General features: G+C 45.9%; 1 protein-coding gene across 151 annotated transcripts in view, besides 1 other annotated feature; it reads left to right on the top strand.

The window, feature by feature from the left end:
• Nucleotides 1-16,627, top strand: part of MAP4 (microtubule associated protein 4) — a 238,154-nt gene that overhangs the window by 16,295 nt on the left and 205,232 nt on the right. The gene's annotated exons all lie outside the window — the stretch shown is intronic.
• Nucleotides 6,149-6,349: a silencer, noted in NCBI's record as "peak4637 fragment used in MPRA reporter construct". NCBI's record gives its function as "represses an SCP1 promoter by STARR-seq MPRAs in K562 erythroleukemia cells {active_cell/tissue: K562}" and the evidence as "EXISTENCE:reporter gene assay evidence [ECO:0000049][PMID:32103011]".

Below are 16,627 nucleotides of genomic sequence, written 5' to 3'. Positions count from 1 at the left end.
TTCTGGCCTCATTAAAAAAATAGTTTTTTCATGAATTTATAATTTATTTTTTTGGGACAGAGTCTCACTCTGTTGCCCAGGCTGGAGTGCAGTGGCGCCTTCTTGGCTCACTGCAGCCTCTGCTTCCTGGGTTCAAGTGATTCTCCTGTCTCACCCTCCCAAGTAGCTGGGACTACAGGCACACGCTGCCACACCCAGGTAATTTTTGTAGAGACGCAGTTTTGCCATGTTGGCCAGGCTGGTCTTGTGAATGCCTGACCTCAAGTGATCCGCCCACCTCGGCCTCCCAAAGTGCTGGGATTACAGGCATGAGCCAGCGTGCCTGGCCAAATTTATTATTAGTAGTAGTAGTAGTATTTTTGAGATGGAGTTTCCATCCCAGGCTGGAGTGAAGTGACATGATCTTGGCTCACTGCAACTTCCGCCTCCTGGGTTCAAGTGATTCTCCTGCATCAGCCTCCCGAGTAGCTGGGATTATAGGCGCATGTCACCATGCCTGGCTAATGTTTATGTTTTTAGTAGCCAGGCTGGTCTCGAACTCCTGACCTCAAGCGATCCACCTGCCTGGGCCTCCCAAAATGCTAGGGTTACAGACGTGAGCCACTGCTCCTGGCCTCATTAATTTATTTATTTTTATTTTTTATTTTTTTGAGACCAAGTCTAACTCTGTTGCCTAGGCTGGAGTGAAGTGGCGCGATCTTGGCTCGCTGCAACCTCTGCCTCCTGGGTTCAAGCAATTCTCCTGCTTTAGCCTCCCGAGTATCTGGGACTACAGGTACGCACCACCACACCCTGCTAATGGGGTTTCACCACATTAGCCCAGCCAGTCTCGAGCTCCTGACCTCTAGTGATCTACCTGCCTTGGCCTCCCAAAGTGCTGGAGTTACAGGTGTGAGCGACTGCACCCGGCTACTTTTTTCATGAATTTAGAAGTATTTATCGTAATGATTGGCTATGTTCATTGTTAATTCTGTGTTCAGATTTTTTCTCTTTTCTTTTTTTCTTGAGATGGGTCTCAGTCCATTGCCCAGGCTCTGGAGTGTGGTTTGGCATCATGGCTCATTGCAGCCTTGACCTTCTGGTTTCAGGTGATCCTCCCAACTTCAGCCTTATGGGTATCTGGGACTGCAGGCGTGTGCCACCACACCTGGCTGATTTTTTTTGGTATTTTTTTTGTAGAGACAGGGTTTCACTATGTTGCCCAGGCTGGTCTCGAACTCCTGAGCTCGAGCGATCTGCCCATCTTGGCCTCCCAGAGTTCTGGGATTACAGCTGTGAGCCACCGTGCCTGGCCCTCAGATTTCTTCTTGAGTAAACTCAAGCTTACTTATTTTCCTTTCCCTCTTATTCACTAAGTTACAGAGACATGGGGGTAACAAACCATTTGCAGTTAAAGGGCAGTATCTGACCCATTTGTTTGTTATATTTTTGTCTGCCCTTTATTACGAGACATGGAGAAATGCTTTTTAAAAGCACACTGTACTTCAAAAAGGGGTAGTTCCTTTTTACTTCATTTTATTTATTTTTTTGAGACAAGGTCCCACTCTGTCACCCAGGCTGGAGTGCAGTGGTGTGATCACTGCTCCCTGTAGCCTTGACCTCCCAGGCTCCAGTGATCCTCCTGCCTTAGCCTACCAAGTTGATAGGACTACAGGCGCTCACCACCATATGGACCTGGACCTGGCTAAGTTTTTGCTTTTTTTTTTTTTTTTCCTGTAGAGACGAGATCTCACTATGTTGCCCAGGCTGGTCTCTTAACTCCTGGCCTCAAGTGATCCTCCTGTCTCTGCCTCCCAAAGTGCTGGGATTACAGGTGTGAGCCACCACACCTGGCCCACAGTTCCCTTTTAATAAGAAAATACTAAAAATTTTTTTAAAAGAATGTATTGGTGGGTCCACACTTCCAACCTGTTCTACAAAAACACAAAATAGGGCCAGGTACAGTGGTTTACACCTGGAATCCCAGCACTTCGGATACCAAGGATGGGAGGATTGCTTGAGGCCAGGAGTTCAAGACCAGCCTAAGCAGCATAGTGAGACCCCATTTGTACAAAAAGTAAAAAATTAAAAAAAACTCAGAACAGATAAAGAAGATGAAATTACCACAAAGAAAGCAAAAAAGGCCAAGAGTAAAATTAAAATTGAAGAAGATGGAGAAGAAGGAAAAGTAGTAGTGGTAGAAGAAGAGGTCTCTGTGAAGAAGAAGAAGGATAAAAAGAAACCGTGGTTGGGCATGGTGGCTCACACTTGTAATCCCAGCACTTTGGGAGGCTGAGGTGGGAGGATCACTTGAGGCCAGGAGTTCAAAACAAGCCTGGTTAAGTAGCACCTGAGGAGGGAGAAAAAAAAAGAAAAAAGAGACTATCCTGGCCAACATAGCAAGACCCCATCTCTGAAAAAAAAAAAGTTAAAAAAAATTATCTAGCCATGGTGGTGTCTGTAGTCCCAGCTACTCAGCAGGCTAAGGCAGGAGGCTTACTTGAGCCCAGGAGTTTGAGGTTACAGTGAGCTATGATCGTGCCACTACATTCTAGCCTGGGTAATGGAGTGAGACCCTGTCTCAGAAAAAAAATTTTTTTTCACTAATATTGCTAGTTTAATAGGTTAAAAAAAGGGATAATCTCACACTTTTAATCACATCTGATTTTCTTAAAACAATAACATCAGTATTGCATGGTCATATATCTGATAATTAAAGGTAAGTTTGGGTCACCGATAATGAGGTTCTCTGATATAGCCAGTTGCTTTAGTACTCAACCAATTTAGTATGTTCCATTTTAGCAAGTTCTCTTGGGCTGAGTATATTTTAAGAGTGTCAGTGGCTACCCAGACAGTTGTTCTTTATCAAGCTAAAATAAGATAACAATAATAGGGACAAAAAAATGTTTGAAAGATATTCTGAATAACTTTGTGTGCTCAGTATAGCTGAGACTTGCTGAGATGCTTCAGAGGCAAACCAGTCAGCCTATTTCATCAGCCAGAGGTGGGGTGCCTTTCAACAGTGTGTTGTCTAAAAGTCTAAGGTAGACTTGCCCAAATTAACAAACTTTGCAATTATCAGTGACAGGCAACTATAGTATGGCAGTAATAGCACTGGACTGAGTGTCAAAAGACCAAGGTTCAGGTTTCATCTGTACCACATAATAACTGTGAGGTCTGGGGCAGATCAGTCTATCTGTTTCCTTATTTATAAAATCAAGGTTGTGAGAATTAAGGGCTTCGTGACTGGGATGGGTGACCTTCAGAATGCTAGTAAGACACTGTCTAGTGATACAAATCAGAAAATAATTTTTGTGTATATGGAATTGGTGAAGCATTGATGTTTTCAATGGAAATTACATTCCCTGTAAGTTTCATTGGGTTATATAGATGGCAAATTGGCTGTGAAATATGAAACTCATGGACTTACTGGAACCACTTTGAGTCCCAGAATAATTCTGCCTTCTCCTAAGGTCATTTACTAAGTTGTAGCTGAGTCAGAATTTGAACTTTAATCTCTAGCATTCTTTCTACTGTGTTCAATTTAATACCACGGATATTTATATACCTTCTAGGTGCATACACTGTGGTAAGTGCTGTAGGTGATTTTTTAAAAAGTAAAATAGAAGAAACAATACACACTGACTTTAAAACACTGACTTTATTATTAAAAGTGTCATGATACACACTGTAAATGCTATACATATTGTGCATAGGTATGAATGACTAAGTGGATTTAAATGAATGTCTTAGGAGCCTGGCATGGTGAACTGTACCCATAGTCCCAGCTTCTTTGAGACGGACGCTCTGTTGCCCAGGCTGGAGTGCAGTGGTGCGATCTTGGCTCACTGCAACCTCCACTTCCTGGGTTCAAGCGATTCTCCTGCCTCTGCCTTCCGAGTAGCTGGGATTACAGGCGCCTGCCACCACACCTGGCTAATTTTTTGTATTTTTAGTAGAGATGGGATTTCACCGTGTTGGCCGGGCTGGTCTGGAACTCCTCGTGATCCGCCCGCCTTGGCCTCCCTAAGGGCTGGGATTACAGGCGTGAGCCACCACACCTGGCCAGTCCCAGCTTCTTGAGAAGCAGAGGCGGGAGAATCACTTGAGCCTTGGAGTTCAAGTACAACCTGGACAACATAGTGAGATCCTACCTCTAAAATATAAATAAATAAAATAAATGCCTTAAGGAGATCATGGTGCTTTGTTGAATTGACTCACAGCCAAGGATTCAGTTAATTTTCATTAGTTTTTAATTAGTAGAGCTGGATGTTTATTACTTAAATATTCCTTTTTTTTTTTTTTTTTTTGAGACAGAATCTTGCTCTGTTACCCAGGTTGGAGTGCAGTGGCACGATCTTGGCTCATTGCAGCCTCTGCCTCCTGGGCTCAAATGATCTTCCCACCTCAGCCTCCTGAGTAGCTGGGATTACAGGTGTGTGGCACCATGCCTGGCTAATTTTTGTATTTTTTGTATAGATGGGGTTTCACCATGTTGTCCAGGCTAGTCTTGAACTCCTGAGCTCAAGTGATCTGCCTACCTCAGCCTCCCAAAGTGCTGGGATTACAGGTATGAGCCATCACACCTGGTCCTTAAATATTATTTAAAATAGTTTTTAAAAAAATGCTTCTCTGGGCCAGTTGCAGTGGCTCACGCCTGTAATCCCAGCACTTTGGGAGGCCAAGGCAGGTGGATTGCTTGAGGCCAGGAGTTCAAAACCAGCCTTGCCAACAGGGCAAAACCCCATCTCTACTAAAAATACAGAAATCAGCCGGCCATGGTGGTGCATGCCTATAATCCCAGCTACTCGGGAGGCTAAGGCAGGAGAATCGCTTGAACCCAGGAAGCAGAGGTTGCAGTGAGCCGAGATTGTGCCACCGCACTCCAGCCTGGGTGGCAGAGTGAGACTCTGTCTGGGGATTTAAAAAAAAAAAAAAAAAAGGTTTCTCTTGTTAACTTTGAGACAGTAACGGGGAGGTGGTATTATTCAGGTAGTCAGAAGCATAAATGCCCAGACCGCCTCTATATTTTTAAACCTAAGAAAGTGAAACCCCTGTCTCTACAAAACATGTAAAAATTAGCTGTGCACTGTGGCTTGTGCCTGTAGTCCTAGCTACTCTGGGAGGCTCAGGTGGTAGAATTACATGAGCCCAGCAGATAGAGGCTGCAGTAAGCCATGATTGCACCACTGCAATCCAGCTTGGCGCAATCACGCCAAAAAAAATTTAAAAATATAAATGAAAATACAGGGGAACATAATATTCCAGACCTTTAGTATTGTGTTGAGGTTTTTTTTTCCCCTCTACTGTAAAATGAGAGTGTTCAGTTTTAAGAGGCACATTTTCGGAGCATGGATAGAGTCTTTCCAGGAGAAAACAGTCTGTCTGGTGATGGAGTAATTAAAATGATTTGAGACATTATTTAAGGAATTAGAGGCTGGGCGCGGTGGCTCACGCTTGTGATCTCAGCACTTTGGGAGGCTAAGGTGGGCGGATTACCAGGTCAGAAGATCGAGACCATCCTGGCTAGCATGGTGAAACCCCATCTCTACTGAAAATACAAAAAATTAGCCGGGCGTGGTGATGGGCGCTTGTGGTCCCAGCTGCTCAGGAGGCTGAGGCAGGAGAATGGTGTGAACCTGGGAGGCGGAGCTTGCAGTGAGCCGAGATCGTACCACTGCTCTCCAGCCTGGGCGACAGAGCGAGACTCCGTCTCAAAAAAAAAAAAAAAAAAAAAAAAAAAAAAAAAAAAGGAATTAGAGATGTTTCATTTAGAGAATAAAGAGGTGGGGACAGCTATTTTCAAATACAGTTGTCCCTCGGTATTCATGGGAGATTGGTTCTCAGACCTCCTGCAGATAAGAAAATCTGAGGATGATAAGGTCCCATATATAAAATGATGTACCTCTGCATGTCCTGCGATATACTTGGCGCACGCCTGTAATCCCAGCTACTTAGGAGGTTCAGGCACGAGAATCACTTGAACCCGGGTAGCAGAGGTTGCAGTGAGCGGAGATTGCGCCTCTGCACTCCAGCCTGGGAGGCAGAGTGAAACTGTGTCTCAAAAAATAAAATAAAATAAAAAATATATATATGTGATGGCTGAATCCAAGGATGTGGAACCTGTGGCTTTGGAGGGCTAACTATATATCAAAGATCTGGCAAGTGGAATAGGCATTAGATTTAGTATTTTGTTGCTTTGACAAAAGAACAAGGACCATCAAGTAGAAGTTAAAGAGAAAAATGGAATGTAACTTTCTTATAAGATAGTGAGTTTCCTCATGTTAAAGTAAGATACTGAGTTTAACTTATGTTAAAACAGAGCCAGGGTATTTAGAGATACTGGGGAGGAAGTTAAGTTGAATGACCTTTAATGTTTTTGTAAATAAATGGTTCTTAATTTCATGAGTATATATCCCCTTGAGAATCTAACCAACAGCAAAGACCCTGTCCCCAGAAAACTTCTACGGATATACTATATAGGTATATATTTTCTTTCATCCTTGAAAACTACTTTTTTGGGGGGCATAGTATTGTATGTTTGTTTGTATGTTTATTAGTATTGCATTTTATTTTCTTTCAGTTTATTGAATTTATCGTTTCTTTTTTTGTTGTTTTTGTAGAGATGGGGTCTTACTATGTTGCCCATGCTTGTCTCAAACTCCTGGACTCAAGCAATCCTCCCACCTCAGCCTTCCAAAGTGCTGGAATTACAGGTGTGAGCCACCCTGTCCAGCCTTGAACTTATCATTCCATTATCTTCTGGCTTACATTGTTGCTTGAGAAGTTAGCCTTGGTGTTAATATCTGTCAGGTACTCTGTGGCATCACTAGTTTTTTATTTCCTCAAACTGCATGACTTGACAGTCATTGGCTTATCCAGATTATAAGAAACTAAGATGCCAGTGCATACAGGGATTCCTCGTGGCTATGATTTCTCAGGAATTTTTTATTCTTTTGATTTGCTCAACACCAAGGCAGGCTTCTATATAGTCCGCTAGGGATAGTGAAAAATTTGGGGCTTGGTTTAGATTGGAGAGGTATATGGTGGGGTGTCTTATAAGGCTTAACTTTGGGAGGGCCCAGGGCCTTGATTTCTGTCCCCCTTGCCTTGTGTGGCCTTTGAATTGAAAGCTTTGGATTAGGCCTTCATAGATTTTAGTGTGCATACAAATCACATGATCTTTTTATAAGGCAGATTCTGATTCTGAAGGTTTAGTGTGGGACCCAAGATTTTGCATTTCTGATCTATAAGGTGATGCTAATCCTGTTGGTCTACAGATGACACTTTAAGTTGTAAGGAGTTAGATTGCTATGTTTGAGATGTGAGTGGTATTAGTAATGTTAGTCATGGTTATGAGGTGGTACAGTAGTATATAAAGAATGAAGATCATTCCATTGTGCAGAGGTTCTTTTTTAAAATTAATAGACTTTTCTTTTTTTTAAGAGACAGTGTCTTGCTTTGTTACCCAAGTTGGAGTGCAGTGGCACGATCATAACTCACTGCAGCCTGGAACTTCTGGGTTCAAGCAGTCCTCCTGCCTCAGCCTCCACAGTAGATGGGACTACACGTGCACACTACCAAGGCTGGCAATTTTTTTTCTTTTTTTGTAGAGATGGGTACTTTCTATATAGTGGAGCTGAAAATTTTTCATTGCCTAGTGATGTAATGCTTGGCATAACACCTTAGTTTTTCTGTTTTTAGATATGTTTAGATACACAGATGCTTACCATTGTGTTACAACTGCCTGCAGTATTCAGTAGTTACATGCTGTACAGGTTTGTAGCCTAGGAGCAACAGATTATACCATATAGCCTAGATGTGTAGCAGGCTGTACCATCTAGGTTTGTTTAGTACACTCTATGACAGTTGCACAATGATGAAGTCACCTAACACATTTCTTAGAATGTATTCCCATTGTTAAGTGATGCATGACTGTCTAATTGTAACCACCCAACGGGGTCACCTTGCCCGCTGGCTCAACAGAACCTATTTATCAAGATGGGAATTACAGTAGAGAAAGAGTAATTCAAGCAGAACTGACTGTGTGGGAGACCAGAGTTTTATTATTACTTAAATCAGTCTGTCCGAGAATTTGTGAATTGGAGTTTTAAAGGATAATTTTGTGGGTAGGGGACCAGTGAGTCAGGAGTTCTGATTGATTGGGTTGGAGATGAAATCATAGGTAGTTGAAGCTGTCCTCTTGTGCTGAGTCAGTTCCTGGGTGGGGGCCACAAGACAAGATAGGCCAGTTTATATCAGTCTGGGTGGTGCCAGCTAATCCATTGAATATAGGGTCTGCAAAATATCTCAAACACGATCTTGGGTTTTACAATAATGATGTTATCCCCAGGAGTAATTTAGGGAGGTTTAGAATCTTGCAGCCTCTAGCTGCATGACTCCTAAACCATGATTTCTAATCTTGTTAGAATTTGTTAGTCCTGCAAAGGCAGTCTAGTCCCCAGCCAGGAAGGGGGTTTGTTCTGGGAAAACTAACCTAAACTGTAAACTAAGTTCCTCCCAAACAAAGTTAGTTTGGGCTAAGTCTAGGAATGAACAAGGACAGCTGGGAGGTTAGAAGCAGGATGGAGTTGGTTAGATCAGATCTCTTTCACTGTAATAATTGTCTCAGTTATAATTTTTGCAAAGATGGTTTCATAATAATATGTATATGGAATAGTTTCACTGCCCTAAAAATCCCCTGTACTCCACCTATTTATCCCTACTTCTTCCCCTTAACTACTGTAACCACTAATATCTTTCTGTCTTCATAGTTTTGCCTTTTTCACAATGTCGTATAGTTAGAATTATACAGTATATAGCCTTTCAGATTGGCTTTTTTTTCACCTAGCAATATGCATTTGAGGTTTCTCAATGTCTTTTTGTGGCTTGATGGCTCATTTCTTTTTATTGCTGAATAGTATTCCATTGTCTGGGTACACTACAATTTGCTTATCCATTCACCTATTAAAGGCATCCTAGTTGGTTCCAAGTTTTGGCAATTGTGAATAAAGCTACTATAAATGTCCACATGTAGGTTTTTGTGTTGACATGAGTTTTCATCTTTGGGTAAATATCAAGGAGTGCAATTGCTGGATTGTGTGGTGAGAGAGTATGTTTAGTATTGTAAGAACCTCCCAAACTGGGTATAACTTTTTTTTTTTTTTTTTAAGACACAGGTCTCGCTATGTTGTTCAGGCTAGACTCATCTCCTGGGCTCAAGCAATCCTCTTGGCTTAGCGTCCTGAGTAGCTGGGACTATAGGTGATTCCAGCTCACCTTGCTGGCTGTACCATTTTGCATTTCCACTAGCAATGAATGAGATTTCCTATTGTTTGACATCCTTGTCAGCACTTGGTGTTGTGCTTTGGATTTTGGCCATTCTGATACGGACACGGTGGCATCTCATTGTTGTCTTTTTTTTTTTTAATGAATTTGAAGTCTTTTTTTCTTATTAATAATTTCTTTTAACCACGGTTGTCAGAATTATTGTTGTCTTAATTGGCAATTCTCTGATGACATATGTTATTGAACATCTTTTCGTTCATATGCTTATTTGCCATTCGTATATCGTTGGTGAAGTGTCTGTTCAGATCTTTTGCCTATTTTTAAAATGGGGTTGTTCATTTTCTTTCTTTTTTTTTTTTTTGAGACAGAGTTTCACTCTTGTTGCCTAGGCTGGAGTGCAATGGCACGATCTTGGCTCACAACAACCTCCCGCCTCCCAGGTTCAAGTGATTCTCCTTCCTCAGCCTCCCGAGTAGCTGGGATTACAGGCATGTGCCACCACGCCTGGCTAATTTTTTGTATTTTTAGTAGAGATGGGGTTTCTTCATGTTGGTCAGGCTGGTCTCGAACTCCCAACCTCAGGTGATCTGCCCGCCTCAGCCTCCCAAAGTGCTGGGATTACAGGCGTGAACCACCACGCCCAGCCACATTGTTCATTTTCTTTTTTTTAATTTATTTTTAATTTTTTAAATTTTTTTATTTTTTAAACATTATTTTATTTTTAATTGACAGATAACAATTGTACATAGTCATGGGGTACATAGTGATGTTTTTTTTTTTTTTTTTTTTTTTATTGATCATTCTTGGGTGTTTCTCGCAGAAGGGGATTTGGCAGGGTCATAGGACAATAGTGGAGGGAAGGTCAGCAGATAAACAAGTGAACAAAGGTCTCTGGTTTTCCTAGGCAGAGGACCCTGCGGCCTTCCGCAGTGTTTGTGTCCCTGGGTACTTGAGATTAGGGAGTGGTGATGACTCTTAAGGAGCATGCTGCCTTCAAGCATCTGTTTAACAAAGCACATCTTGCTCCGCCCTTAATCCATTTAACCCTGAGTGGACACAGCACATGTTTCAGAGAGCACCGGGTTGGGGGTAAGGTCATAGATCAACAGCATCCCAAGGCAGAAGAATTTTTCTTAGTACAGAACAAAATGGAGTCTCCTATGCCCACTTCTCTCCACACAGACACAGCAACAATCTGATTTCTCCATCTTCTCCCCACATTTCCCCCCTTTCTACTCGACAAAACCGCCATCCTCATCATGGCCCGTTCCCAGTGAGCTGTTGGGTACACCTCCCAGACGGGGTGGCGGTCAGGCAGAGGGGCTCCTCACTTCCCAGAAGGGGCGGCTGGGCAGAGGTGCCCCCCACCTCCCGGACGGGGTGGCGGCCGGGCGGAGGCGCCCCCCACCTCCCGGACGGGGTGGCTGGCCGGGCGGGGGCTGCCCCCCACCTCCCTCCCGGATGGGGCGGCTGGCCGGGTGGGGGCTGCCCCCCACCTCCCTCCCGGACGGGGCGGCTGGCCGGGCGGGGGCTGCCCCCCACCTCCCGGACTGGGCGGCTGCCGGGTGGAGACGCTCCTCACTTCCCAGACGGGGCGGCTGCCGGGCAGAGGGGCTCCTCACATCCCAGACGATGGGCGGCCAGGCAGAGACGCTCCTCACTTCCCAGACGGGGTGGCGGCCGGGCAGAGGCTGCAATCTTGGCACTTTGGGAGGCCAAGGCAGGCGGCTGGGAGGTGGAGGTTGTAGCTAGCTGAGATCACGCCACTGCACTCCAGCCTGGGCAACATTGAGCACTGAGTGAACGAGACTCCATCTGCAATCCCGGCACCTCAGGAGGCCTAGGCTGGCAGATCACTCGCAGTTAGGAGCTGGAGACCAGCCCGGCCAACAGGCGAAACCCCGTCTCCACCAAAAAAATACGAAAACCGGTCAGGCGTGGCGGCGCGTGCCTGCAATCGCAGGCACTCGGCAGGCTGAGGGAGGAGAATCAGGCAGGGAGGTTGCAGTGAGCAGAGATGGCAGCAGTACAGTCCAGCTTCGGCTCGGCATCAGAGGGAGACCGTGGAAAGAGAGGGAGAGGGAGAGGGGGAGGGGGAGGGGGAGGTGTTCATTTTCATATTAAATTTTAAGAGCTCTTTGGGTCCAGGCGCGGTGGCTCACGCCTGTAATCCCAGCACTTTGGAAGGCCGAGGTGGGTGGATTACGAGGTCAGGAGATTGAAACCATCCTGGCTAATGTGGTAAAACCCCATCTCTACTAAAAATACAAAAAAATTAGCCGGGCGTGGTGGCGGGTACCTGTAGTCCCAGCTACTTGGGAGGCTGAGGCAGGAGAATGGCGTGTACTTGGGAGACGGAGCTTGCAGTGAGCCGAGATCGCACCACTGTCCTCCAGCCTGGGCGACAGTGAGACTCCGTCTCAAAAATAAAAAAAGTTATTTGTATATTTTGTTTCGTTTTTAATTTTTTATTTATTTTGAGATTGGGTTGTAAGACTGGCTACATTTTTTTTGTATTATTATTATTTTTTTTTTTGTAGAGACAGGGTTTCGACACGTTGCCCAGGCTGGTCTTGAACTCCTGGGCTCCTGTGATCCATCTCCCTCGGCCTCCCAAAGTGCTGGGATTATAGGCGTGAGCCACTGCGCCTGGCCTCTGTATATTTTGGATACCAGTTCTTTGTCAGAGATGTGTTTTGCAAATATTTTCTCCCAATCTGTTGAGTTTCTATTCTCTTAGCAGTGTATTTTGCAGATCAGAATTTTTAACTTCAGTAAAGTCCAGCTTATCAGTTTTTTCTTTCCTACATCATGTTTTTGGGGTTGTATCTAAGAAGTCATTGCCAAACCCTAGGTCACCTAGATTTTCTTCTATGTTATCCTCTAGGAGTTTTATAGTTTCGTATCTTACATTTAGGTCTATAATCCATTTTTTTTTAATGATCCATCAATCTTTTAATCTTCCACAGTTTTGGTGGGTTCTCTTGGACTTTATTCTGTAGCAGTTCATGACCATGTACCATTTACAGGCATGAGTGATAAACTTCATAGTGGCTGAGAAAGATCAACAGAATGAGTTGCCTTGTCCAAAGGAAATATGTCAGTGACATATGAGTGACTGAGTTTTTACTAATTGAGATTACATCCAGGTACCTTTTGGTGATGAAACTGTTTATTGTTTGTTGCAGAGTTCTACTGCAGACTAACAATTCCTGAACCCATTTAATAACCCATGTATATTAAATGTGATATGATTGGGATTTTAAAGGCCAGAGGTTTAAGAGAGAGATGTTCAAAAGTTTTTTTTTTTTTTTGAGACAGAGTCTCACTCTGTGGCCCAGGCCAGAGTGCAGTGGCACAATCTCAGCCCACTGCATCCTCCAGGTTCAAGCAATTCTCCTGCCTCAGCCTCCTGAGTTGCTGGGATTACAGGTGTGTACCACCAAGCCGGCTAATTTTTTGTATTTTAGTAGAGATGGGGTTTCACCATGTTGCCCCCAGGGTGGTCTCGAACTCCCGAGCTCAGGCAATCCGCCTGCCTCAGCATCCCAAAGTGCTAGGATTACAGGCGTGAGCCACCCGCTTCAGCCTCCCAAAATGCTAGGATTACAGGTGTGAGCCACTGCACCCAGCCCAAAAGTTGTTGAATTCTCAAATAATTAAGATTTCATGTGTTCATATGGACCATAAAGGATCAAAATAAGTATGGCTTGCCATTATTGTAATGTTGCTATCCTGAGTAGGTCTTTTTTTTTTTTTTTTTTTTTTTTTTGAGATGGAGTCTTGCTCTGTTGCCCAAGCTGGAGTGCAGTGGCACGATCTCGGCTCACTGTAACCTCCACCTCCCAGGCTCAAGTGATTCTCATGCCTCAGCCTCCCAGGTAGCTGGGACTACAGGCGCACGCCACCATGCCTGGCTAATTTTTTGTATTTTAGTAGAAACGGGGTTTCACCATGTTGCCCAGGGTGGTCTCGAACCACTGAGCTCAGGCAATCTCCCCACCTTGGCCTCCCAAAGTGTTGGGATTAAGGTGTGAGCCACTGTGCCTGGCCCTGATTGGGTTTTTATCATTATCTGTTCAGTTCATGTAGTTTTGGCTGTTAATTCTGTACTTGAATTATTCAATCACAAAGTGTTTTTACTGACTGCTGACTCTACTTTCACTTTCATTACTTAATGATGAAGGCTGTTTAAAATAATGTTGTAATGCCGGGCACGGTGGCTCACACCTGTAATCTCAGCACTTTGGGAGGCCAAGGAGGGCAGATCACCTGAGGTCAGGAGTTCAAGAGCAGCCTGGCCCACATGATGAAACCCATCTCTACTAAAAATACAAAAATTAGCCGGGCGTGGTGGTGCACGCCTGTAATCTCAGCTACTCGGAGGCTGAGGCAGGGAGAATCACTTGAACCCAGGAGGTGGAGGTTGCAGTGAGCCGAGATAGTGCCATTGCACTCCAGCCTGGGCGACAGAGCAAGACCTCATCTCAAAAATAAATAAAATAAAATAAAATAATATTGTATCTAGATTTTCAAATCAGGTGTTTATGCAGGAAAAGACAATTGTTTTATTGGTTTTAGAAAACCAACAAACCAAAGCAACAATAAAGATTCCTGTATACATTTTTTTCTTTAATTAATGAATTACTTGGGTCATTCTGGTAAAATAAGATGCTTTCTTGTTACCGAATGCCAGTTTTATCAGATGAAAAGGACTGTGTTCATAGATGATGGAGATAATCACCAGTTCTGATAGTTACTCTAAAAGATAAGACATAATCCTGTTCAGCCAGACCTAGTGAAAATCAGAAATACCGATGAAACTTGGACACGTAGAGTAAGATTTTTGGCTTAAAACACCTTTGCAAGTGGGTGGGTATGTGTAGTATTTATGTGTGCTACTTGGTTTCTAAAGACTCCCTACTATATGCTAATTTTTAAATTATGTACATGGTACTTTTTAAGCCTCGCAGGCTGGCCAGCCGGCCTACTGGCCTCCCTCCCTCTCTCCGTACAATAAATTAGCCAAAATAATGAGGTAATATCTAAGTCATTGTAGTCTAGGACTGAGTCATTTTTCTCTTTGAAAAAATTCCAGAATACTTTATATTTTCTTGAAGGTAACTTTTTTGCACTTGTTTTAAGGTATTGTTACTTTATTTACAGCCAACGAAATGGAACTGTTAGGTTTGTAAGCATCTTATATTTTTGAAGTGCTGATTGTATGTTCAATCTAATTCAATAAATATTTATTGTCTAATATGTTCTAGGCTTTGGTGTAGGTGCTTGGGATATAAGGATATGTAACTCATAGTTCAGCCTTAAGTCTAAATATTTAGTATATTTGTGTTTTTTAATTTAGTTTTTAAACACAGTTTTTTAAAATAATTTTGAGATAATTATAGATTTACATTCAATTGTAAGAAACAATAATACAGAGATATCCCTTGTACACTTTACCCAGTTTCCCCTGGTGGAAATTTCTTGCAGAATCATGGTACAATATCACAACCAGGGTATTGACATTGAAACAGTTAACAGTAAAGTGGTACAGCCACTCTGAAAAATAGTTCGGCAGTTTGCCTAGGAGTACAGTTGCTAGGCCATATGGTAGTCGCATGCTTACTTTTTTTTTTTTTTCTTTTTTTTCTTTTTTATTTATTTATTTATTTATTTTTTTATTGATAATTCTTGGGTGTTTCTCACAGAGGGGGATTTGGCAGGGTCATGGGACAATAGTGGAGGGAAGGTCAGCAGATAAACAAGTGAACAAAGGTCTCTGGTTTTCCTAGGCAGAGGACCCTGCGGCCTTCCGCAGTGTTTGTGTCCCTGGTTACTTGAGATTAGGGATTGGTGATGACTCTTAACGAGCATGCTGCCTTCAAGCATCTGTTTAACAAAGCACATCTTGCACCGCCCTTAATCCATTTAACTCTGAGTGGACACAGCACATGTTTCAGAGAGCACAGGGTTGGGGGTAAGGTCACAGATCAACAGGATCCCAAGGCAGAGGAATTTTTCTTAGTGCAGAACAAAATGAAAAGTCTCCCATGTCTACTTCCTTCCACACAGACACGGCAACCATCCGATCTCTCAATCTTTTCCCCACCTTTCCCGCCTTTCTATTCCACAAAGCCGCCATTGTCATCCTGGCCCGTTCTCAATGAGCTAGTGGGCACACCTCCCAGACGGGGTGGTGGCCGGGCAGAGGGGCTCCTCACTTCCCAGTAGGGGCGGCCGGGCAGAGGCGCCCCTCACCTCCCGGACGGGGCGGCTGGCCGGGCAGGGGGGCTGACCCCCCCCACCTCCCTCCCGGACGGGGCGGCTGGCCGGGCGGGGGGCTGAACCCCCCACCTCCCTCCCGGACGGGGCGGCTGGCCGGGCAGAGGCGCCCCTCACCTCCCGGACGGGGTGGCTGGCCGGGCAGGGGGGCTGACCCCCCCCCCACCTCCCTCCCGGACGGGTCGGCTGGCCGGGCGGGGGGCTGACCCCCCCACCTCCCTCCCGGACGGGGCGGCTGGCCGGGCAGAGGGGCTCCTCACTTCCCAGTAGGGGCGGCCGGGCAGAGGCGCCCCTCACCTCCCAGACGGGGCGGCTGGCCGGGCGGAGGGCTGACCCCCCCACCTCCCTCCCAGACAGGGCGGCTGGCCGGGCGGGGGGCTGACCCCCCCACCTCCCTCCCGGATGGGGCGGCTGGCGGGGCTGAGGGGCTCCTCACTTCCCAGTAGGGGCGGCCGGGCAGAGGCGCCCCTCACCTCCCAGACGGGGCGGCTGGCCGGGGGGAGGGCTGACCCCCCCCACCTCCCTCCCGGACGGGGCGGCTGGCCAGGCGGGGGGCTGACCCCCCCACCTCCCTCCCGGACGGGGCGGCTGGCCGGGTGGGGGGGCTGACCCCCCCATCTCCCTCCCGGACGGGGTGGCTGGCCGGGCTGAGGGGCTCCTCACTTCCCAGTAGGGGCGGCCGGGCAGAGGCGCCCCTCACCTCCCGGACGGGGCGGCTGGCCGGGCGGGGGGCTGACCCCCCCACCTCCCTCCCGGACGGCACGGCTGGCCAGGCGGGGGGCTGACCCCCCCACCTCCCTCCCGGACGGCATGGCTGGCGGGGCGGGGGGGCTGACCCCCCACCTCCCTCCCGGATGGGGCGGCTGGCCGGGCGGGGGGCTGACCCCCCCCCACCTCCCTCCCGGACGGGGTGGCTGCCGGGCGGAGACGCTCCTCACTTCCCAGATGGGGTGGCTGCTGGGCGGAGAGGCTCCTCACTTCTCAGACGGGGCAGCTGCCGGGCGGAGGGGCTCCTCACTTCTCAGACGGGGTGGTTGCCAGGCAGAGGGTCTCCTCACTTCTCAGACGGGGCGGCCGG

This window comes from Homo sapiens, chromosome 3 (genome assembly GCF_000001405.40).
Source record: "Homo sapiens chromosome 3, GRCh38.p14 Primary Assembly".
NCBI lineage: Eukaryota > Metazoa > Chordata > Mammalia > Primates > Hominidae > Homo > Homo sapiens.
Note: the sequence above shows the minus strand (reverse complement) of the source record. Positions and strands in the feature narration are given on the sequence as shown.